The sequence below is a fragment of the Homo sapiens genome, chromosome 7, assembly GCF_000001405.40.
Source record: "Homo sapiens chromosome 7, GRCh38.p14 Primary Assembly".
Lineage (NCBI taxonomy): Eukaryota > Metazoa > Chordata > Mammalia > Primates > Hominidae > Homo > Homo sapiens.
The window spans coordinates 19694934-19717847 of NC_000007.14; the positions used below are offsets into that span (position 1 = coordinate 19694934).

Consider the following 22914-nt stretch of genomic DNA (forward strand, 5'->3'; position numbering starts at 1 on the left):
CATTAAAAATAGGAAGACCTCTATATATTCATATGGGAAGACATTTACTATAAAATAGAGTAGACCCAAAAAGTGCAGGTAGTTTGATTCCATGTCTTAAAACATTTTAAAATTCACTACTTAAAAATCTCTAAAACTACACATGGAATTGACAATAGTGGTTATTTCTGGAAGCAGAATTGCCAAGTGGGTGTGTGTGGTGTGGGGAGGAATAGGGAGGGAGATCAATGACTGGTAGAGTGGGAAGATGTATATACTTTTACTATATGAATTTTTAAACAAATATATATTGATTTTGTAACAAAATATCTACTTTTTGAGAAAAAAAGGCAAAGATGACCCATGTGGTGAATGTATAAAACAAATTAAAAGAGATCAAATTTCTGTCATTTTTAAGTATTCTATCCCTGACACACTAAAGTGATAAAAGTGCTTAAAAACCACATTACATATAGGCCAAAAAAAAAAAAAAAGATGCATTTATTGAAACAAGTGAAAATAATAATATCACATCAGAGGCCAAGTGATACCATTTGAAACTGTGCTTTTTATTTATCAATTTAAAATTATCTGTTGATGCTTTCATTATACAAAGGATTCACTGTTAAATACTATAGATATAGTTAAGGCATAATTCCAGCCCTCAGGAAACTTATTTGGTCAAGACAAATTTGATTAAGAGACAAGCTTTACAAACAGGTAAACAGTTTGAAATAATGCACAGTGTTACAAGTAGAAAAATATTTATTAAAGAAAAATAAGAATTATGGTTATGAAGCATGCACATTTAGCCTTGTCTGGAAAAAGTTTATGCGAAGGTGGTGCCTGAGGTCTTTTACATTAGATAACTTCTTAGTCCTCTGTCAGGTTCTCCACCTGGAATGCCACAGCTAGTTTTTCTTCTCCAAGGGTCAAAATGCTGCTCTTCCAACAACAAGCTTAAACACTAAACGTAAAGCATTAAACATTCATTGTTATTTGTACTTGTCATTTATACTTGTGTATCTTATAGACAAAACGGTAAGCCCTTAAGAGCAGAAACTGCTTAAAAGTCATTTCTGTATCACTGGTGACTAGTGAGGTGTCTTGCACAGTGAAATGGGTGAATGATAGGAACTGGAGAGAGGGTAAGGGATCTAGTCTAGGCTATAGGGTTTGTATGAGCAAATTCCAAGATAGAAAAGATAGACTAGGTTAGTGCAGCATGTGCCAAATGTTTTGAAGAATACATAGTGGACACCATCATCAGTCTTTCTGTGTCAGAAAGACAAACAAAAAAAACAATGAACAAAGTTATGCTATTCTAGGAAAGACAAATGGCCAGATCTGACTTTTCAAAACTACTCACATTGTGAAAAAAGCAGGAACAAATCTAGTTTCAAGTTCAGCATGCCGTTCCCTGTTTAATTCATAAAACACAACTGGCAGAAGTATTACTTGAAGCAAAACAAAAGTAACGTGGGAACTTGCTTATTTGCTAAGCCACAATGTATTTTTCCAGGAATAGCATAAATTTGCCATCTTTCTTGTGTCTATGGAAAAGGGGTTTAGAATTGTTTCACTAAAAATTAAATTTCTATATTGTCAAACATGATTGTATACTCAAATTTTAAAATGTGAAGGGAACACTTACTAAGCATTTCCTGGGTATGCCACTATATTAAGTCCTAGTAATATGATATAGTTTATTTCAATTTTTTTTCAACTCATACTTCCTTTAAAATAGCACTGACCAAAAGAAAGTTAACATGAGCTTCATGTACAATTTTTAATCTTTTTGCAGAAAAATAAACTGAGAAAGGCTAAAATTGTTTTATTTAAGCCACTATACCAAGACATATTGATTTCACCAATATAAAAATTGAGATAGTTTACATTTTTTGGTACATCTTTAAAATCTGGTATGTATTTTATACTGACAGCACATCTCAATTTGGACAAGCTACATTTCCAGGGCTCAATAGTCACATGAATCTCAATTGTAATCAAAGAGGTTGGCCTGCATCCTTCCATTGTCTAGCACATCTACTTGTAGACAATTGTGAACATCTGCCACTCTGCCAATTCTATATCCCATCATTGTAAGTTCAGATCAACATATACCACTAGCAGAATTTATTCATTACCAAATATTAAGCTGTGAGACCAGCACTATGTCTGGTACTAAATAAATGGCAACAAAAATGCTGACATGGGAGTTCAACCATTCATGCATTTGCAGATACTAACACAGGTAACAGTGAGTGAACAATCCTCCCCCTTTTTTTCATACCACTTAATACAATTATTAATTTTCTTATTTATTGTGTGTATATGCACATCTGTTTCTCTTATGACATGCCACAAGGGAAGGAACTACATCTATCTTGTTTGCCATTGTATCCCTGGGCCTTAGCAGAATGTGTTATACAAAGTAGATGGTCAAGTGTGTGGAAAATGAATAAATATGGCCATGCATTGATTACCAGCTTCAACCAGCTTGTCATTTCATTACACTTTGTCAATTAGTCAAGAGACATTCCACATTTTCTCAATGAAAGCAGTGAACAGAACAACTGTTTTCTCTTCAGCACAATATCTTATAGCCCATTCCAATCATTAAAAAGTAATCTGAAATTTCCCACTAGTCAGAATCACATTTATCCTGTCTTCATTAGACTGTCCTCCAACACACAACAAAACTAGAATGGCTGAGGCACAAATGAACAAGTACAAGAAAACAGTCCTTTCCAGCAACCTCTCAGACTTAAGAAGACAAGGACACACATGCACTTGGAAGAAAGAAAAGAAAATAATGAATAGCATTTACCACCACACAGTCAGTACTGGCCTGGCTTTTAAGAGCTGTGAAGACTTCAGAAACTTCTTTGGCAAACTATTTTATGTTAAACAATAGAAATACTGTAGAAAGCCATGATAAAGGAAAACCTAAAATTAGTTAATGTCCTGAGTTTTTAAAAAAGCAAAATAAAATAGCATGTAATAAGGTGAAGCCTATTAAACACACACAAAATCAAATCATCAAAATCTCAAACTTAACTCATTCTTTAGTAATATAATATTGTATTATAAAGTCCTTTGGCTAGTCTTGACATTGTAGAAATAATTTTATGTAGAGTGCAAAACCTGGAAGAATATGAGAGCTGACAGTGAGAGCAGCTTTTTATTTTGTATAAAATGGTATTTTAACAATACTGGCTTTCCCCAAATTAATTTACAGTCAGTTTTATCATTTTTAGCATATAAAGCCTCCTACTCCTAGTTAAGTATTTTCTGTTTTGTAAACTACTGGCATACTTAACCTTTTCATATCACTGAAAACATTTATTCATCTATTGTATGTAGATCGATCTTTTAAAAACTGAATCGTGTTTAAAATACACTAAAGAAAATTACTTTTCCCTTTTCTTTTTGGTGAGCATTTCAAAGGTGGGGTAAATTCGGCCTCTTCACTGTGTTTTCTTTTCTTTTTTTTCTTTTTATGGTCACTTTGGTAACCACTGGAGTCACTGCCTTGGAAAACAGGGTCCTGGTCCTGAACTTCCTGGTGCTTTTTCTTCTTCTTCTTTTTCTTTGGCTCCTCCTCCCAGATGCCATTCGCATTATTAGTATTCTGCAGGGCTGACTCTTCCATTGGAGTGTCATCTGCATCATCTGCTAGCTTTGTGGTACCACTGTCCACTTCATATGTCTCTGGGTCTTTCTTCTTTTTCTTCTTTTTAGGTTTTTTAGCAGCTTCCTCAGTGCCATTTTCTGTAACTTCTTCAGAAACTTCAGAGCGCTTGAATTGTAAACTATAAATTAACAGTTAAAAAAATTAACAGAACAATAAGCAAAAAACAAAGAACAAATTGAGATCAAGATATCCCAACAGGCTAAGATTTTCTAAATAATGACTCCAGTACAAGACACATAACCATGGCATAAATTCCAAATATTCTATCCTGTTATCCCTCAACCCACTAAAATATGTATGGGCTGCTGAATGTTAAATTGAAAAATGTTAAATTTAACATTAAATGTTAAATTCTTTCTTTATGAATAACTTCTCCCAGACTGTTTCCACACATAAAAATGACATAAAAATCTTGTCAAAACATGTCTTCCAAGTTTTGGGTTGTTTCAGAAAAATTTGGTCACTGAACATTAAACACCACAATACCTAGGCTTATTAACCAAACCACTGACATCTAATAGAAAATATGATCTGGTATTTATCAAAGCAATGGAGTTTCCAGTCTACTATTTTAATCTTGTTTCAAATAATAGTCCATTGTTCTACTTAGCTGATACTAAGATAGTATTACTTTAACATTGTGAATTATTTTACACCACTAAAATAAAACATGGATCGATGAAGTAGCTTTCTCTCCAGAACTTCAGTCTTATACAGTAGCACTAGGCACATGTACCTAATCACTACCAAAAACATAACTTTAGAAATTCAGTTCCTCAGTCAGACTTAGTCATATTTCAATGCTCAATAGTGAGGCTGCTGTACTATGTATATAAACTGTATTTCTGTCATTACAGAAATTGAACAGCTGTTCCAGAACTTCAACCCATACTCTTGTAACTTTAAGGCAAAATACAGAAAAAATTATTAGCAATAGCAGCATTTTAAGAGTTGTCTCTCTCCTTCTTCCTTTAAACTTGGCTCCCATGGAATCAAGCTCAAGATCAGAGTTAATTCTTATAATAATTTCTATACAGAATAATACAGAAATTAAAATATCTGGCACAGAAGACAATAATCAACACAATTTTTTGTGTGTAAAAACAAAGCAGGCCAATAGTTAGGAAGGTAATTGTGCTTTCAGTAGTTTCAAGTTTAGAGGTCAACTTTAAAAAAAAAGTTAACAACAAAATAGAAAATACTCAGCAAAATTGAACTATTAAATATTAAAATACAGACCAGTTAGCTAGTCTGTGTTTCAGAATATTTATTTGATGCACTGTTACAGATTACTTAAGAGTATTGTTTATATTGACTTTATGGTTTGAAAGCATGAATATTCCTATAAACAGGTATTTTTAGAGAGGCTTATTCTCTTTAAAATTAAAATAAAATTCTCTTTAAAATTCAGAATTAAATAGAAATTAAGTACCTAGTGATAATTACGTAATGATAAACTAACCTTGTGATATTTAGTTTTCCCCGAATGCAGAATACTCCAGCAGCATCTGAGTCTAAACGAAATACTTCAAATTCTAGTTCATCACCCATGTTTATCTCCATGGTTTGCCACTGCTCAGCTGACAACTGCTCAGGTTTAGGAATGGAGGCATTGAAACACCCATGTACTAAACAGCCAATGTGGCTAGAAGACACTTTATTAACTATACCCTGGGAAGAAGAAGGAAGAAAGAGCGTAACATAAAGAACACATCCACAAAGTTAAAAGGTGAACCAAACTTTACAAGCTTCAAATAATCTTCAAAGAACAAACATCAAATTAATGGTCTAATTTAATATGGAAAAAGTTTACCTCAATTAAAACTTACCACATGTCATGCCAAAACATCACTTTAGAATACCACTGGGTTTTGAGAAAGCTCAAACTTTATTATATAAGTAATTGCACATTAACTGTCTAACTGGGCACATTAACTTTCTAACTGGATAAACTAACCTGCCCCCGCCACCCTGTCCAAGAAAAAAAACCATCTCAACTCCCCACTGCAGGATTCCTTAGGGAGGACAGTATTACTCTTTAGCTACATTGAAACCAAGCAAACCCCATATAACTTCTAAAAAGACCTCATATGCGTTTTATAACTGGGATCCATGTTACGTTTCTGTAAATAGACCAAATTTCAAAGCTTAAAAATGCATTCTTTAATTATTTAATTTAGCATGATGCAAGCATTCCATTAGAAGACAGCTTACCCTTTAAATGTAAATATTGACCATGACTATTTTTTGGCTAAATCACGAAAGTATTATTAGAAGCTTTAAAACTAAAACAAAAGTATGTGCTATATGATTTTAAGATGAGACTTTGCATAAAACTTATTTTTCTTCTCAGGGTCAATATATACAAAGCATATAAATGAGACTCAGAAATATTAAAAATTCACATTTTCTGAATTATGAAACTGCAAATAATGCCGATGTGTATACAATGCTGTTTAACATCAGCAACCCTTTACACATGTGACAGAATAAAACTTCCCTATCTGGTATGATCAGAAGTCTAGTGTTCCCACTGGTAGTTTCCAGATGGTCTAGATAAACAAACTGGTACAGCTATAAAATAAAAGATTATTCAGTAATAAAGATAAATAAGTTCTCACCATAAAAAGACATAGCGAAACCTTAAATGCATATTGCTAAGTGAAAGAAGTCAATTTGAAAAGGATACATACTCTATTCTTCTTCTTTAAAAAGGCAAAACTACGGAAACAGTAAAAAGATCAGTGGTTGCCAGGGATTACAGGGAACGGAGGGAAGAAGGGAGAAATGAATAGGTGGAGCACAAGCGGTTTTTAGGAGAGGATAACTATTCCGTATCATACTATAATGGAAGATAAGTTGTTGGGATTCACTCAGGATAGTGGCAGAAATATTAAAGGGAAATATTAGGGAAAGTTATAGGGAATAGTCACAAACCTTTTTGGAAGGCCAAAAGGTTACATAGCTTGTAATAGCTGAACAGGCCGAAGACAGCCGGTTCTTACCTTAGAGCATTAAGTTACAGAGTAAATACTAGGGACAATAGAGGCTTCCCCAGTTAAGTCTGTTTACCCTACCTCTGTTAACTAACCTTTAAGTCAGATGGCCTCTGGGGGGGCAGGGATATTGCCCCCAGTGATATTTACTTTAAACCTCGGTACCTGAGCTTTAATCATTCATAGAACTACTCACTTAACCATGTTAATTATCCAAAAGTGTGTGGACTCAGAGCTTCTGTTGTTAATTGTATACGAAATAAATGCCTGGAGTGTGAACTACTCAGGGCCAGCGGCAGTGACAAACCTCTCTCGGTGTGTAGGCAGTCGGACACTCAGCAGTACTGGCAAAGCAATATCTGTGTGTCAGTGTACGTTTCATTCATCCATCTTTTAGGTCAAGGTCTGCAGGCAGACCCCCGCAGCTAATGCCCTCTTGTGAGGAGCAATACCTCAATAAATGCCATGACACATTTGTGGAAACTCATAGAATGTACAACACAAAGACTGAACTCTAATGTAAACTACAGACTTTACTTGATAATAATGTATCAATATTGGCACAAAAATGGTAACAAATGCACCATACTAATGCAAGTTAATGTTGATAATAGGGGAAAGGGGGTGGTTATATGGGAACTCTATACTCTCCATTCAATTTTTCTGTAAACCTAAAACTGCTGTTAAAAATATGTCAATTTCAGAAAATCAATGAAAGAAAAGGTTTTTTAATATATGAATCCAGAACAACGGGAAAGCTACATGAAGGAGAGAGTGGATCTCAAGGCCTACCTCACACTACACACAAAAATTATTTGAGAATGATCACAGACTTAAATGGAAAAGCTAAAACTAAAAGCTTGTAGAAGTCGACAGAACAGTATCTGCACAACTTTTCGGCAGACAAATTTCTTTGATAGGGTCCAGAAAGCAATAGTCATAAACATATAAAATGATAAATTGGACCTCATCAAAATTAAAAGTAACTGTTCATCAAATAATACCATTACAAGTTAACAGACAAGTCACAGATTGGAAGAAAATATTCAAAATACTTATCTGAAAAGAATTCATTTTAAGACTAAAAAGAACTGCTATAAGTCAATAATAAAAATACAAAAACCCAATTAAAAATGGGCAAAATACTTGAACAGGCCCTTCTTACTGAAATATATGAAAAATTGCTTATGAGGGAAACGGAAATGCAAATTAAAACCATAATGAGATACTACTATATGCCCATCAGTACAATTAAAGGACAATAGCAAATGTTAATAACGATACAGAGTAAATGAAGTGTTGAATGGGAAATCAGTCTGACAATGGTTTTATATAAATACCCTGTGAACTAGCTCTTCTGCTTCTAGTTATTTACTTAAGAGAAATGAAAATGTATGTTTTCATTCATATGTCTGAAAATATATGTTTTCAATAGCTTTATTCATAAAAGCCCCAGCCTGGAATCAATCCATCAATGAAGACAGATAATTATATTGTGATATAGTCATATAACTGAATACCATGAGCAATAAAAAGGAACAAACTACCAATACACACAACAGCATGGATGAAACTCAAAAACATGCTGATCAAAAGGCGGCAGATTTTAAGAATGTATAATGAATAATTCCATTAATATGGAACTATAGAATAAGCAAAACCAACTTATGATAAAATCAGAAGAGTAATTATATCTGCAATAAAGAGAAGGAATTGGGCCAGGAAAGGGCATGAAGATCCTTTCTAAGGAGATGGAATGGTATACAGACCTGACGAAATTCACTGAACTGAACAATATGATCTGTGCATTTTATTATATGTAAATTTTATCTCACCAAATATTAATAATAATAATTGAAGGAAAAGTGGGTGGTCAAAAATATTTGAGGAGTGGATCTTGTAGTAGGTAGATTAAAAGGGATATTTTTCATTTCATACTTTTTCTACAATCTGTTATTTCCATGTACATGTATATATGTTATTTCCGTGTATGTGTGTGTGTATTTTTACAGACAGGGTCTCACTGTTGCCTAGGCTGGAATGCATTGGCGCAATCATAGCTCACTGCAGCCTTGAACCCCTGGGCTCAGGTGATCCTCCTACCCCAGCCTCCTGAGTAACTGGGACTACAGATGCATGCCACCATGACTGGCTAATTTTTTATTTTGTGTAGAGATGAGGTCTCACTATGTTGCCCACGTTGGTCTTAAACTCCTGGCCTCAAGTGATCCTCCTGCCTCAGCTTCCCAAAATGCTGTGATTGTAGGTGTGAGCCACTGTGGCTGGCCTACATGTTTATATTTAAAATAATAATTTACACAAAGTAGATGAAAGTTAAGTTTGTTAATTTCCAAATACAAATCTACTGCCAACTTTAGTAGTCCAGTTATAAGATCCCAGTTTAACAGGCAAAGGATACTACTTGTATTAATTTGATATTGAAAAATGAAAAAAATTGGAAGTGTCTTGTGGGTTTTGTCATGGTTAAATTGATCTATATTTTTATGAACAATATCAAGGGTTAACAGTTCTGATCTATTAAAATATTTATCAGCTAAGGAAAAGAACATATACACACACATACAAGTATACATACGAACATGTGTATACACACAGAGAACTGCTGGAGGAAGAGAGGAGAAAGTAAAGAGTAAAAAAGGATCTATTTCAGCAGATTTTGTATCAATATCTGCATTTCCAGCTTATGAAAAACTGGAAGACCTTTCCCACAGAGCTTCCATTTCCAAGGCACAGACTGGCTGCCCTGTCCTCTGTCATTGATAAATTTTCATTACTGCCTGGCCCATTTGAATTCCTGTTTCATATACTGCTATATTCTTTGAATCCTTTATAAAGAAATAGTATTTGTGTAGAATTGAGAACTTTTGAAATAATAATGATAATTGATTTTTTTGCCCTTAAAATCATTCTGCTACTATGAAAAGAATAAAGTGGATGGGACATATATCGTGTGCATGTATGTGTTTTAGGAGGATATTCAAAAACTTACCTACGTTTGAATGATACAAATTAATTTTTCCTTAAAAATAATATTTATTTACTCACAATAGCAATTTATTTGAGTCCCAAGGTATATATTATCTCTTAAAATGTTCCAAGTTACATAATTATAGAATTATACAAAGGGAGCTAGAAAAAAGTGATACACATACCATAAGCTTCTGCCCTGGTTCAGGGCAGAAAATAACAAAATCGGCTTCAATGTTAAGATGAATGTGTCCTTGATCATCATAAATATCTCCAAGCTCTCCCACAACTTTGATGTTATCATATGCAATAGGGACACCTAAAAGGCTGTAAAAAGAAAAAGTTGAAAATGATACCTTTTATCGTCTTTTATTTATTTATGTTTTTGGAGACAGGGTCTTGCTCTGTCACCCAGGATAGGGTGCAGTGACATCAACAGGGCTCACTGCAGCCTCGACCTCCTGGGCTCAATTGATCCTTCTGCCTCAGCCTCCCAAAGTGCTGAGATTATAGGTGTGCACCACTGCACTCTTTCAAACCAGGCCATTTTCATACTGATTAGATATTCTATCCAAAACTTACACATCTCCTAAATACACCACCTATGTCAAAAACAATAGTATATGATTAGTCTGTAACAACTTTAGTAGTCCCATTTCACCAATGGATTCTGATGTGTTGGCTAAGTTAAAATGATGACTCAAGATACACAGAAACAAAATGCCCAATTAATGCATTAGCAGTAAATCAACTCTTCTTCCCTGGCCAAGTCCCATTCTTTCTATCCTAGCATGACTATTTGAATTCTTCAAGTTATACTAGGATAGAAAGAAGGGACTTAGCAAAGAAAATGTGTATCTCTGTGGACATGACTGAATAAGAGGCAATTTTGGTATTATTCACCATTACTGAATTTCAGTACTTGACGGCGTATAACAAGGGAAGCATTACGGTTAAAGCTGAAGCCCCTGAATTTTAAAGTCAATGACTTAATAGAGAAAATCCCAAACTTCAACTGTTGATAGTAAATGCAAATGTTAATACAACTACATTATTTAGGAACTGACTGACACTTTAGTCTACAAATGTAACAGTCATGATTAAGGGACAACTATTTTTCAAACTGTTATTTCTTAGCTTTTAAGGAATTATAACTATTAAGGAGAAAGACCTAGTGGTGGGAGGCGGAGGGTGTGGTGAGCTGAGATCTCAGCACTGCACTCCAGCCTGAGCGACAGAGGGAGACTCCATCTCAAACAAAGGAACAAAAAACAACAAAACAAACAAAACCTGGTGGCTTCATTACCACACCCACTACTTGTTGGAGAAAACTTCCCTGACTCCCCCAGGCAAAGCTGAAATCATTCCTCTACTCCTATAGGCCAACTTTCTCACTGTTCTTAATCTAATTGTATTGAACCTATCTGTATATATGTTTGAATTTCACACATGACTCTAAGGCCTTTGATAGCAAAGAATATTTTTTGTTGAACTCAAACTTCTAACAATTCACATAAAATAAGGGAAAGAATTTATCCCTAACAGATGTTGTTTAGTAAAACAGCCAGAAGCCACAGAAAATACACTTTAAGAATTACCAAATTAGGAAAACCCTAACTCAGAGACTTACTCGGGAAAGCAATTTTCTGAGGTTTTAATTTCCGCATGTGGCATTCCTAAGCTGGAATCATCCTATCACTAAGACAATGTTAGGGACACAGAAAACAGAGAATAGGAAGAAAAATTAACTGCCATACTAGACAGAAAAACAAATTATCAAGACTTTATTTCCGCTAATCAAAGCCTTGTCTCTCAAGTATCAGAGTGATTCTCAAGGGGAAGGAGGGCTGTGGTCCCCTGGTGGAAGGGGGGACATGTGGAAATTTGTGATACTAGTCATGGTTATCACAAACTTTGCAGAAGCCAGGGAAGAAAAGAGTCTGTCATGTACAGGACAGTCTGATACAATGAGGAAATGTCCTTCGCTCTGACTTTTGAATAAAAGGACAAATCTATTTACAAATAGCTAGGCACCTAATTTAACTCTTAAAACACATCAACACAAAGTCATCTTTGCACAGTTTTAATATATATTAAAATTTTCAGGAACTTAGCAGTATATAAATTCAAGGGGGATTTTGTTAAAAGTCATCAGATATGTGAACACAGGCACCCAACACTATATACTTTTTCCTCCTTCACTTTTGTTTTTCAGATACCATCCTAAATAGGTATCAGGGCAAGGTGGTAGCCTCACTTCAGTTCTTTAATACTATATGTTCAATGTTTTGTCCCTTATTAGTAATGCATAGTTCAAAGTGTGGTGCCTGATTTGCACTTGAATAAACAGCATACCCAAGTAATATGGAAGGAGTGGTGTCCAGATCTGTTCAGAGCCACTCTGCGTGATTTCCCCCTCTAGCCTGTCAAGTGCAGGCAGTACTGGTTACAGAAAACAAGATAGTTGCTTGTGTTTCCAAATGTTATGACTACTTTGTATATCCTTTAATTTCTCAAATCCATCCTCTCTAATCATTTTCTCTTGGACAATTATAACATTATCTTAATTCCTCTCCTTGTCCACTTTCTCATCCTATTTGGTAGCTAACCATTAAGTAAATGTTGTTTCTTAAACTGCAAATCTGATATGCCAGGGACTGCAGAGAAGTACTAGTTTCTCAAAAGTGTGCCAAGTCTCAGCGTTAAAGGGACTGAGAGGACGGAGCACTAACCCTGCTTAAGAAAACAGAAACACAAAAGGAAAAACAACAACAACCCCACCTTACCCCCAAAATAACAAAAACTGGCAATGGCAGGAAGGGAAAAGCAAAATGGCCATCCTCTCTGAGTCATCTTTGACCCCCTGCCCTCCTCTCCAATGGCATCCAATGCCTTTCCCCTGACATAAACCTTATTCTACTTATATAATAGATACAGTTCTCTGGGCAAAGCATACCAGTTCACATCCAGTATCCGTTTGTTTATGCCACTCTCTTTGCCTGGAATGTTACCATGTTAAAGTACCCTCTTCAATCAAGTTGTTCTCAAAGGTCCCAAGATCCAAATTCTACACTCCTTATCTTATTAGATTTCTGTCAAATTTTAACACTTTACTATTTATTGGCTTGTATTTGTATCTCTCCTACAGCTTAAAGCTCCTTGAAACAGAGATTTTATTTTTTGTTTTTGTATCTCAAGTGTTCGGTATGTAATATAAACATACAAGAAGTGTATATTGGTGCTTGGAAGAATCTGCAGATTCTAGACATGGGTGGAGGTCCAGGATCCCTTAAGAAACTGATAAAAACTTCCGATGCAGTGCCCAAGGAACTTCACATAGGAATTCCTGAAGGGCAATCATGAATCCCTAGAGAATCCATTCCCTCTAGTTTTAGAACCCCGCTTTTAAACCAAAGTATAGTCCAGAGGAATACTCAAGCACATGCCCGCGCCCCCCGCCCCACACCTCTGTAATTCTAAGTTTTCAAGTCACTTTTGAATACCGTAATATAAATGCATACGTTTTGGTTTTTTCTCTCCCCAAAGCAACAGGCTCACTAGTTCGACTGAATAAATCTTCTTAAAAACAACAAAATCCCGCTAAACTAATGGCATTTTCATAATCCCCAGATCAGGTCCAAGAGAAGAGAAAATGGGGAAATTACCAGAGCGAAATCCAACAACAAAAAAGGTCCTTCATGTTTTACAAATAGAACGGTTGTACTAATGCTTCGTATGCTATCTTCTATGGAATGAGAATCTACTCAAGCACTGCAAACCAGATTTTTATCGTCAAATGAGAAAGCATCATCCGTAAGGGGATAAATGAAACGTTGAATGCCAAACAGAACTGGGCCTACTAGGTCTCCAGATCCCTGGTCTTTTCCTACCCCTACACCAGGGTTCTGGAGCAAGAATCTCCACTCCCTCCGCCCACACCTGAACTTCATCTTTAAGTTTTCTTCTCTATCTATGAAAGGGACCCTGTATAGATCTTTACCAGAGCGGTACTGGCCTTGAGGGACGGATCGCGACTCTAGAAATCCAGGGGGCTAAGCTCTGGGGGGCAATGCGACCTTTGCCATTTGCCCCTTTCTGCTGCGTCGTCAGCACATCCACCTGCTTTACTTCCCGTGCACAAAAGAAGGAACAGGCAAAGAGATCGGTACCTCTCAGAATAGCGAAGGAGCTCCGCATCAAGCTGTTCTCGAATGCCGGTGCGTTTCCTGTTAAGGTAGCGGGGCGACAGCGCGATGTGCCTTTGGTGCGGCCCGGCCACCAGGCATGAGTAGCGACTGTTCACCAGCGCACAAGCAGCGGCATAAGTCGGCAACTCTAGGCAAGGCAGGACGCCAGCCTGCCCTACCAGAGACCCATCAGAAGCCGCCGCTGGCCGCGGCGCCTCTGAGCAACCTGCAGCCATGCTGCTTGTCAAGGTTCCCACGGCGCGCGCCGTTGACGCAAGCACAATCCCATGTCCCCGGCGCTCGTTTTACGCCATCCACCAACGACCACGCCCCTAGGAATTTCCCCTCTTTTCGCTGCATTACGCAGCCCTGACCAGCAGGGGGAACCGCGTTTTCGCGCTTCGAGAACGGGAGCTTAGAGCCTCGGAAATGCATTGAGCACGCAGGAAAGCCAACCGACTGCTCTTTTAAGGGCAGGCAAATGTGTGTTTTCGCACAGAGGCTTATTGGATTAAGTAGGTAGCTTAAAAATGGGGGTTCTCACTTTGATCATTTCCAGTAGTGAGGTGGGTTTGGTAGAATTTTACAGGCTTGGACTGTACAATAAAAAATCAAAATATTTATGGAGTATATTTTATGCAGTACACGGAATCCTAAGCAGGCCTGATAATTGTAATGCAACGCATCTGAAAACGAACCCACTAGTTCTCTCCTGTCCCGCTTCTCTTCTCATTATGCAACTGCTAAATCAGGGAATCATACAGCCAAGCTGTCAGCCTCGGATCCTCTTTTGTATCCCCAAGTATCAAATCAGCCTGAAGACCTGTATTGCCCAAAGTGGAAATATCATTCTATTTGGACACTATTCTCTTTCCCTGCCGCCAAAACCGCAGGACTCCCTGCCTGTGGAAGCCTAGCTCAATGGTCAGGAGGACACTCTGGGGCAGCCAGATCTTCCCTGAAATACATATGATCGTGTTGTGCCCTGTTTAAGCCCTACATAGGCACCCCATTTTCTCTAGGACAACACAAACTCATGAAAATGGCTTATAAGTTACAAGGCCATTTTGTGATCTGCGTGGGCACACAGCCTCTCTCTTCAGCTTCATTTGTCACACTCCCCACCCTAATATTATCATGCTGCTTGATCTACTTTCAGGTCTCTCTTTGTGCAGTCTCACGCTGTTCCTTCCACCAGGGAATATAATAGCATTTTTCACAAGGGTAAATTCTACTCATGTATGAATTTCTAGCTTAGATTTTACATTCTATACCTTTGCAAAGAGTTTTCAAGCACCCCACTCCTCTTTCTCTATAAGGATTAGGTAGTTACCCATCTATGTTGGTTTTTATGTTAATTTTTTATTAACTGTCTTTGCTTGCCTGTTCCATCAATAGATTCCTACACTCACTAAAGTGGGGACCATAATATCTGTATTGTTCACTACAGTAGCCCCCCACAATTTATCCCTCCTCCAAAGAAACGAAACCAAGAAAAACCCAACCAATACATCTTGAATGAATAACCTGATAGTGAGTTAATAAATAATAAGTGATAAAGAGCTCACAGCCTAAGTGGAAGTGGGATCTAAACATAAACATATAACAGGTTATGCTGGATAAGTGCCAAGAGAAATGTATAGCAGTGATGTGAGTATTAACATACTCCCTCATCTCCTAAATACTGCAAAAAGCCTCTTAGCCTCTCTAAACCTGATTTCTGACTTGTAAAATACGAAAAATAATACTTGCCCTGCTACCTTAGAGAGATGATAGGAGGGTCAAACAAGATAAATAAAAGGCATTTTCTTTAATATTCCTTAAATAACTGCAAACTCAGCATGAGATGATAGTGGGATGAGACTGCCCCCAAAACCTAATAGTAGACACTTTTAAGTCCATAAATGGGAAACATAATGGCTTTTACCTTCATTTTGTTGCAAAGTCCTGTGATACCCCTGTGCAGGACCCTTTTGTTCAATGTGCTCAAACTTGGCTAAACAATGAAGTCACCTAAGGTGAGGAGCTTTAAGAACTCCTGATGCCCGGATGACATCACAGATCAATTCAATCAAAACCTCTCCAGGTGACTACACCTTACAGTCAAGATGGATCTAGACTGGCTGTAAGTGATTTGAATGAAAACAATTTGGCCAAGAAAGAATTTAGTAAAAAACAAGCTGGACATCATGACAATTTGATCAAAACAAAACGTTACCTGAAATCAAATATTCCAGTAATAATCTTTCACAACTAGTAAATGTAGTGCACCCATGCAGTAGTTTTGTAACCCTAGGTATGTCCAGTTGCAGTTAGAAGTTTGCTTGTTTAAATTTTGAAACTGATTTTCTCATTTTCAGTTTTAAAAATTCTGACTTGATCATTAGCTGCTATCCATGCTCTGCATGATTTGAGAGCGAACAAGGTGATTCTGCCTGCATGCCAGTGTTCACCATTGTGGGGTTACTTTACAAATTAACCTGCTCCACCTTCGACACAGGGAAGAAAACAGAAATAACCATGAGTTCCTCCTACCTACCCTACCCTGCAGACATATACAAAGTTTATTTGTTCAAAGACCTGTAGTTGAACTGAACCATTTTATTTTTCTCTAAAATTTGTCCAAGTTCCACAAAAAGTAAGGCATTGGTGGTCCCTGTCTCATGAAAAGCTCTGTCAAGTCAAAGGCAATGTGCTGAGAAGATCTTCATTCTACAAGGAGGAGAAAGAAAGTTAGAAATAATTTTGACCCCATGACCAATGGCCTCAGAGGAAGAGAGAGAAAATTTCCTGTGCAACTGTCTGTATTATTTTATCACTGACCTTGCCACCTCCAGCATGCACACACATATACCTTATTATATTAGTGTGTTTCTATTCCTCACAATCAGATAATCCCTGGAGCAACATAAATGTGCAAAAATTGGTGGTTTGCTGAAATAAATAATGGTGGTTACAAAGTAATATGTGACATATGCTCTGATTGTTACAGAACACATGCACATTTATATGCTTAGAAAAAAATCATGGGGCACATGATTGTATTCATGCATCTAGGTCAACAACAGCTGATCTATATGACGGTGGCCCTGTAAGTTTATAATGCCATGTCTTTTTACTGTATCGTTTCTATGTTTAGATATACTTAGTTGCACAAATACTTGCCACTGTGTTACGGTTTCCTACAGTATTCAGTACAGTAACAGGCTGTCCAGGTTTGTAGACCAGGAGCAATAGGCTACAGGCTATTTATCAACCAGCTAAATAGCAATAGGCTATTTATCAATCAAGGAATCTAACCCAGGCATGACTTATGCCATAACTTATCCTTTCAATTACTAAAGATCTTCACATTTTCTATGTACATGACCAAAGCTGATAAAGGAGGAGATTAGCATAGCACATCATATAGCGTAAGTGTGTAGTAAGGTATGTCATCTGGATTTATGTAAGTATGCTCTATGATGTTCATGCAATGATGAAATTGCCTCATTATGCATTTCTCAGAATGTATCCTTGTCATTAAGCGACACATGTCTATACCATATGTTAAAGTTAGTCATCTCTTGAGTATGAATTTATACTTTCCTTTTATTTTTGTGAATTTTTATATATTATTTTAATGTTTATACAGAAAAAAATCAGAAACTTAATCAGAAGATTTAAGTTGTTACAGGACATACTCTAGTTTTAGATGATTTAATAGTGTTGGTTGGTGCAAAAGTAATTGTGGGTTTTGCCATTACTCTTAGTGGGAAAAATGACGCTTACTTTTGCACCAGCCTTAATACAAGGAGAAGAGCCTCCTAGATGCTAAAGTCACATTGCTTGAGTTCATATCCTGGCTCTGTCACTTACTAGATGTGTGATGTTAGGCACATTTCTTTCATTTTTCAAAAAGCTAAAATTATTACAGTAGGATTATGTGAAGATGGAATCAGACAGGAATTTTTGACTATATGTAATGGTTTGCATAAAAAATTCCTATAAAGAGCATTCCATGAAAAATGTCATTGTATCAGTTAGCTTTTGCTGCATAACAAACTATCCTCAAATGTAGTGGCTTTAAATAAAACTATTAATTTAACTCATAATTCTATGGGTACAAATTTGGGCAGCACTCAGTTGGGTTCACTTGTGCATCTGTCCTCATGTGTGGCCCCATGTGTCTGGTGTTCCAGCAGGCTAGAGTGAGCTTGCTCTCCTGGCAGCTATGCAGATTTCCAAGATAGAGCAGGAAGCACACAAGACCTTCTGTCTAGACTCTAGAACTTCCACAATGTCAATCCAATGTATGGGGTACATCTGATCTCATGTACTTTGTTCTTTGCCTCAGAGAGGCTCAGAAGCTTCTTCTGTCATATATCAGGGGTATATACGTCCCTAGGAATGCCCACCCTGGATAAAGAGCAATACTAGTACTGACAGGAAGGATTTAATCACACTTATATGACTGTTTATATCAAATTGGTGGAATGAGTGATGAGTGTCAACATCACAATGACCAACATTATCACAGGTAAACTTTACTACAAACCTGCCAGATGCTATGCCAAGTGCCCTAGGTAAATCACTGACAGATAATCTTTATGAATTGATTACACTAATGACATATATTTACAAGCGAGAAGCCTGTATTCTAAAAGAAATGTCAGCCTCATGATGGTAGCTATCCTCTCTGTATTGCTAACAGTCATATGCCCAGGGCCTAATGCATACTCCTTGAGTGAATGAACCAATGACTTTCCCAAGAATACCCAGCGATTTATCAATAAAGGAATCTAACCCAGGCATGAGTTATCCCATAATTTATGCTTTGAATCACTAAAGATCCTCACTTTTTCTATGTCTATATCAAAAACTGATGAAGAAGGAAATTGTAAAAATTGATGGTTTATTTTATTTAGTCTCTGCCTAGAAAAGTGCTAAGGTAAGATATTTGACCAAATTGGTAAATATTAACATTTTAGTAGGATTGGAAAGGTGTCAAACAAGCACCAGTTTTAGCCGAAATATATATAATACAGGGTATATCAACCAAATGTTTGTTGATGCAGACCACTTGTGTTTCACAAATTTGCCAGCAGATGGCAAAAATGAGCTTAAATTTGTAAAGTTTTGCTTTAGCTTAAGGACTGTAGAAATGACAAAAGTGAAGGGAAACTTTATTGATGGCTTGTTTTTATCTACAATCCTTCTTCAACAGAGAACTTAGGATAAATTTTTGACTCTGAAGGCTCCTTCTACTTGCTTGTTAGATTGTTGACACTACATGATACACATGTGCCTAAAGAGAATGAGGAAATATATTAACAGAGCACATTATATTACATACACACACACACACACACACACACACACACACACACACACACACACACATATCGTTTAAACCTGAGCTTTGAAATATGGACCTAAATAAAGTCATGCCAATTTTTTAGCTCCTGATGTTACAATTATCTATCTAGGTAAAAGCCAAGAAGGCAACTGCCTAGCACTTTGGATGAAAGATGTCAGCTAGAAAGGATTAGCTTAAATAATAAAATAAATTTGAGGTGTGTGAGTGTGTACGAGTCTGCGTACATGTAGATGTGAGCACTGATGACTGCTTCTAGAGGTTGGGAAGAGGTAAACAAGGTATCTCAAGGGGGTGAGTCTACTTTAGGAGGACAAGATGCCATCTGTATTTATTGTCCTCTTACAAAAACTAGTGTTAGTATTTCTTCTAAGCCCTATTTCCTCTCTAATCAGACCTTTCTGCAATCAAATTTCAACATCCTCCTTTCAAGTTTTTCAAATCCAGTGAATTAAGCTAATACAATTGGCTGTGATGCTTGCAAGGGTGACTGTGGAAATTCTCATTTACTTCCACCTGTCTTTTGCTCAGTGCAGAATAGAAATAGAAAACAGTTTTCTTTTTTATATTTTGAAGATTACTTTAATGCTGTAGTTTAATAAAGCACTTGCTGACTGCAGAAACTGTGTAGATGTGAACTCCAAGATTCTTGACATTAAATAGTTCCGAAGAATGTGGTACGGAAAGTTTGAGGGTGGTAATTAAAAAAATGAAATTTAGATGCAGTGCCTTTTGATACACAATTTACTCTGAAGTGCCCAAACACAATTTATATTAATGTATCATATTCTAGACTTCCCGTTACAGCTACAGGGTGCTTAATACACCTATGCTTTGGAAATTATTATAGTTATGAATTTATCGTTGTCCAATGGCAAAGTGAACTTGCCCAGTTGTGAAAAATGCCCTGCAGGAATTTACAAATTAAGTCATTACTTTAAGGCCACAGTTGTTAGTAAAATATCTGAAAGTCCAAAATTTGCACTGAGTAGGATAGACTAATGAATAAAATGAAAGACTAATGAATAAAAGAAAGCTACTCGATTTCTTTGTGTCTCACTTTGCCTTGATATTCTTTGTTGTGATTCCTGTTTTCTTGTACCATATTGGCTTTAGGGTGATACTGACAGTATTAACTCCGCTTGAAAAAAACCTTTTCTCCTGAAATCTTTGGCACAGTCGAATAGACTAAACTGGATGTTTAAAAGTAGGACAAAAAAAACACCAGAGCCTACCAGAAATGAACATATCTTTAATATAAGGGCATAATTTTTTTCATGACCAAATTAGTTTTCTCTATAGCCTACAGGTCCAAGCACCTTATCAATAAAGCCTAGGGGAAAAGTGATCTTGTTTCCGTTTCTGTTACAGCTTTCTGCCTGTCTCCAATGACCTCCTAGATTTTCCATCCTCTTTATATTCAAGGTTTATGGAGCTCAAGTTTTCTTTCAGTTGGCTGAAATCCTTTCTTTGAATTCCTATTTTCAATATGTGTACATACTTGCTGGCCAGGTGACTAAAACAGTCGCTTCTCTCACTAGCTGCTGCTGCCTCAGTGACTAAAGCTGGATTTCAATTGGCTGATTCAGGAGTAGGGAGTTTTGTTAAACAAACTCAAGTGCCTAGAGTGAAATGACTGAAGGTAGCTGTCAAAGCTTGACAACTGGAGAGATGAAGTCTCAGGTTCAAGTGCAGGGACCAGAAACTGAAATCAAGGCAGCATCACAGAACCAGAAATTTGAATCTAAAATCAAAAGAAGTAGATTAAATAAAGGAGAATGGTTCATATAGAGTTGGTTTGTTTTATGGACCTAAGCATGAGAGTGTGTGTGTGTGTGTGTGTGTGTGTGTGTGTGTGTGTGTGTGTATACACATACATGTTATATGATTTGGCTGAATGGCTTTAAGATTCAGGAGTACCATCAGAAATGACCTCACTTTTCAGGTAAAATGATGTCTACCCACCTTTTTCTTATTTATTCTATTTCTTATTTCATGTTAAATAAGTGATGTTAATATCATAGAGGGATATTCACCTTTATAGATAATGTATATTATAATAGCATTTGCTAAATAGAGATTGACAAATGCTTATTTTCACCTGCTGTGCCACCATCATTTTGCTGGTAAATGGCAATAGGCTAATATTACCACTACTAAGTATATTGAGACTTGGAAACTTGACCTTCTCTCCAGCAATTCATTTTATTACAGAGAACATTGAGGCTTTTATTTTGTTTTTTGAGAGGTTGATAGAAGAATACTAATATACTTAGAAGATAGAAAGAGAAGTCTGGCTTTCAGAAGCCTTTTTGGATAGTAATGAAAGGAGTGGACATTTAGACTGCTATCTAAACAAGCCCTTAGAGTACTTCTATATTACACAGTTGAGTGTTATCTCATCCTTGGGCTGAGTTATAGTTCAGAGTGAGGGGTAGTGTTGGCTAATAGAGCCACCCCCAAAGGTATCAGTAGCTTTTCTTTCCTGGGCAATGACCCTAGCTATTTCAAGGGATTTCTTTTAGTGTACCACACCCCCCAACTCCAACTCCAACTTCTGGGATGGATGCTGTAGAATGATTAGGTGGAGATCAACACCCTGATTGGGTACTAAGGAGCAGTCATGAGATTACTTGCAGCTAATACAACACTTGGTGAAATTTTAACAACATTTTAGATTTTTCTGTGAAGTTTCAGGCAAGTTCTAGAGTCTTCTTGGCGATTTTCAGTGGCATAATGACTTTCAGCTTTGGGGAAAGGCTTGCGATGTATTGTGTGGCTGAAGAAGGTGGAGCCTTTCAGTGAAGAAAATCTTGTGAAAACAATAGTCCCTAGTTGATGTGGAGAAAGGCAAAGATGGCAAGATTTCCAACTAAATGAAGGCCTTCTGCCTAAAATGAAGGAGTCTCTTTTCACTGTAATTCATTGATGTAAATAATATTGAAGTGTTCAAATATTGAAATAATTTTATTAAAGCTATAGCTTGGTTTTTAAGCAATATATTACTTGTGAAATGCATTTATGTTCCTAGTAAAGGACTCTTGTATTCAATAAATTGTTTTCCTGGCAAAGGGAGTAAAAAAGAAATTCCTCTGTATAATTTTGCTAGGCATCCACATTTCCAGCAATTTCTGAATTGGTTTCCCTTGCTATGAGTAACTGACAACCTGTGATTTATGGATTTGGAATAATTGAATTTCTTGGCCGTCATACACTTTGAGTAAGAAGTATTATATATGTTTCCAGAAAAAAATGACTAAAAGAAGAAAAGAGTGAAGTGATGCCAACTTCTGACATTTTATTTGGAAACAGTGTTCTAACTAAATGATACTTAAGATGCTCCTCTAAGTTTCTGAAATATGTTTGCTAAATAATCTTTGAAAATAGTTTGGGACATAAGGTTTTTAAATACACCATTTTTGAACTAAGTCAAAGAATAAAGTGGAGGACCATGTATTTGTTATTGTCACATCCCTAAACACAAGAAATGCAGGGTATCCTTTGACACATGTAATAGGTCGAGTAAAAATATTCAAAAATAGGGGTTACACAACATCTCATTTTGCTTGTCAAGCATATAATATTTAATAATTTAGTGGAATTTTTCTGAGCAGAACTTTTTAAATGTGAAATCTCTTAAAAAATTTCTACTTTATTATGGGTTGTTCTACCACATTTGCTAATTATTACAAGTTTTGCTCAGTTTATGGA

General features: G+C 36.5%; 1 protein-coding gene and 1 non-coding gene across 2 annotated transcripts, besides 5 other annotated features; both read right to left on the bottom strand.

The window, feature by feature from the left end:
- Positions 1 to 527: 527 nt before the first annotated feature.
- On the bottom strand, positions 528 to 14104 carry POLR1F (RNA polymerase I subunit F). Its single transcript, NM_001002926.2, has 4 exons — positions 13830 to 14104; positions 9846 to 9987; positions 5139 to 5347; positions 528 to 3794 (listed from the first exon to the last, which is right to left on the bottom strand). The coding sequence occupies exons 1-4, from the start codon at positions 14081 to 14083 to the stop codon at positions 3383 to 3385; spliced, it is 1017 nt and encodes a 338-aa protein (NP_001002926.1). The 5' UTR covers positions 14084 to 14104; the 3' UTR covers positions 528 to 3382.
- MIR3146 (microRNA 3146) lies at positions 10425 to 10503 on the bottom strand. Its single transcript, NR_036101.1, has one exon. It is a non-coding gene; the product is annotated as a microRNA 3146 (primary transcript).
- Positions 13228 to 13832: an enhancer, noted in NCBI's record as "NANOG-H3K27ac-H3K4me1 hESC enhancer chr7:19747784-19748388 (GRCh37/hg19 assembly coordinates)". NCBI's record gives its function as "activates a minimal SCP1, AML or CMV promoter by ChIP-STARR-seq in naive H9 embryonic stem cells {active_cell/tissue: H9 hESC(naive)}" and the evidence as "EXISTENCE:reporter gene assay evidence [ECO:0000049][PMID:30033119]".
- Positions 13228 to 13866: a biological region, named in NCBI's record as "NANOG-H3K27ac-H3K4me1 hESC enhancer GRCh37_chr7:19747784-19748388".
- Positions 13797 to 13866: an enhancer, noted in NCBI's record as "active region_25683". NCBI's record gives its function as "activates an Ori minimal core promoter by ATAC-STARR-seq in GM12878 lymphoblastoid cells {active_cell/tissue: GM12878}" and the evidence as "EXISTENCE:reporter gene assay evidence [ECO:0000049][PMID:35858748]".
- Positions 13833 to 14435: an enhancer, noted in NCBI's record as "NANOG-H3K27ac-H3K4me1 hESC enhancer chr7:19748389-19748991 (GRCh37/hg19 assembly coordinates)". NCBI's record gives its function as "activates a minimal SCP1, AML or CMV promoter by ChIP-STARR-seq in naive H9 embryonic stem cells {active_cell/tissue: H9 hESC(naive)}" and the evidence as "EXISTENCE:reporter gene assay evidence [ECO:0000049][PMID:30033119]".
- Positions 13977 to 14256: an enhancer, noted in NCBI's record as "active region_25684". NCBI's record gives its function as "activates an Ori minimal core promoter by ATAC-STARR-seq in GM12878 lymphoblastoid cells {active_cell/tissue: GM12878}" and the evidence as "EXISTENCE:reporter gene assay evidence [ECO:0000049][PMID:35858748]".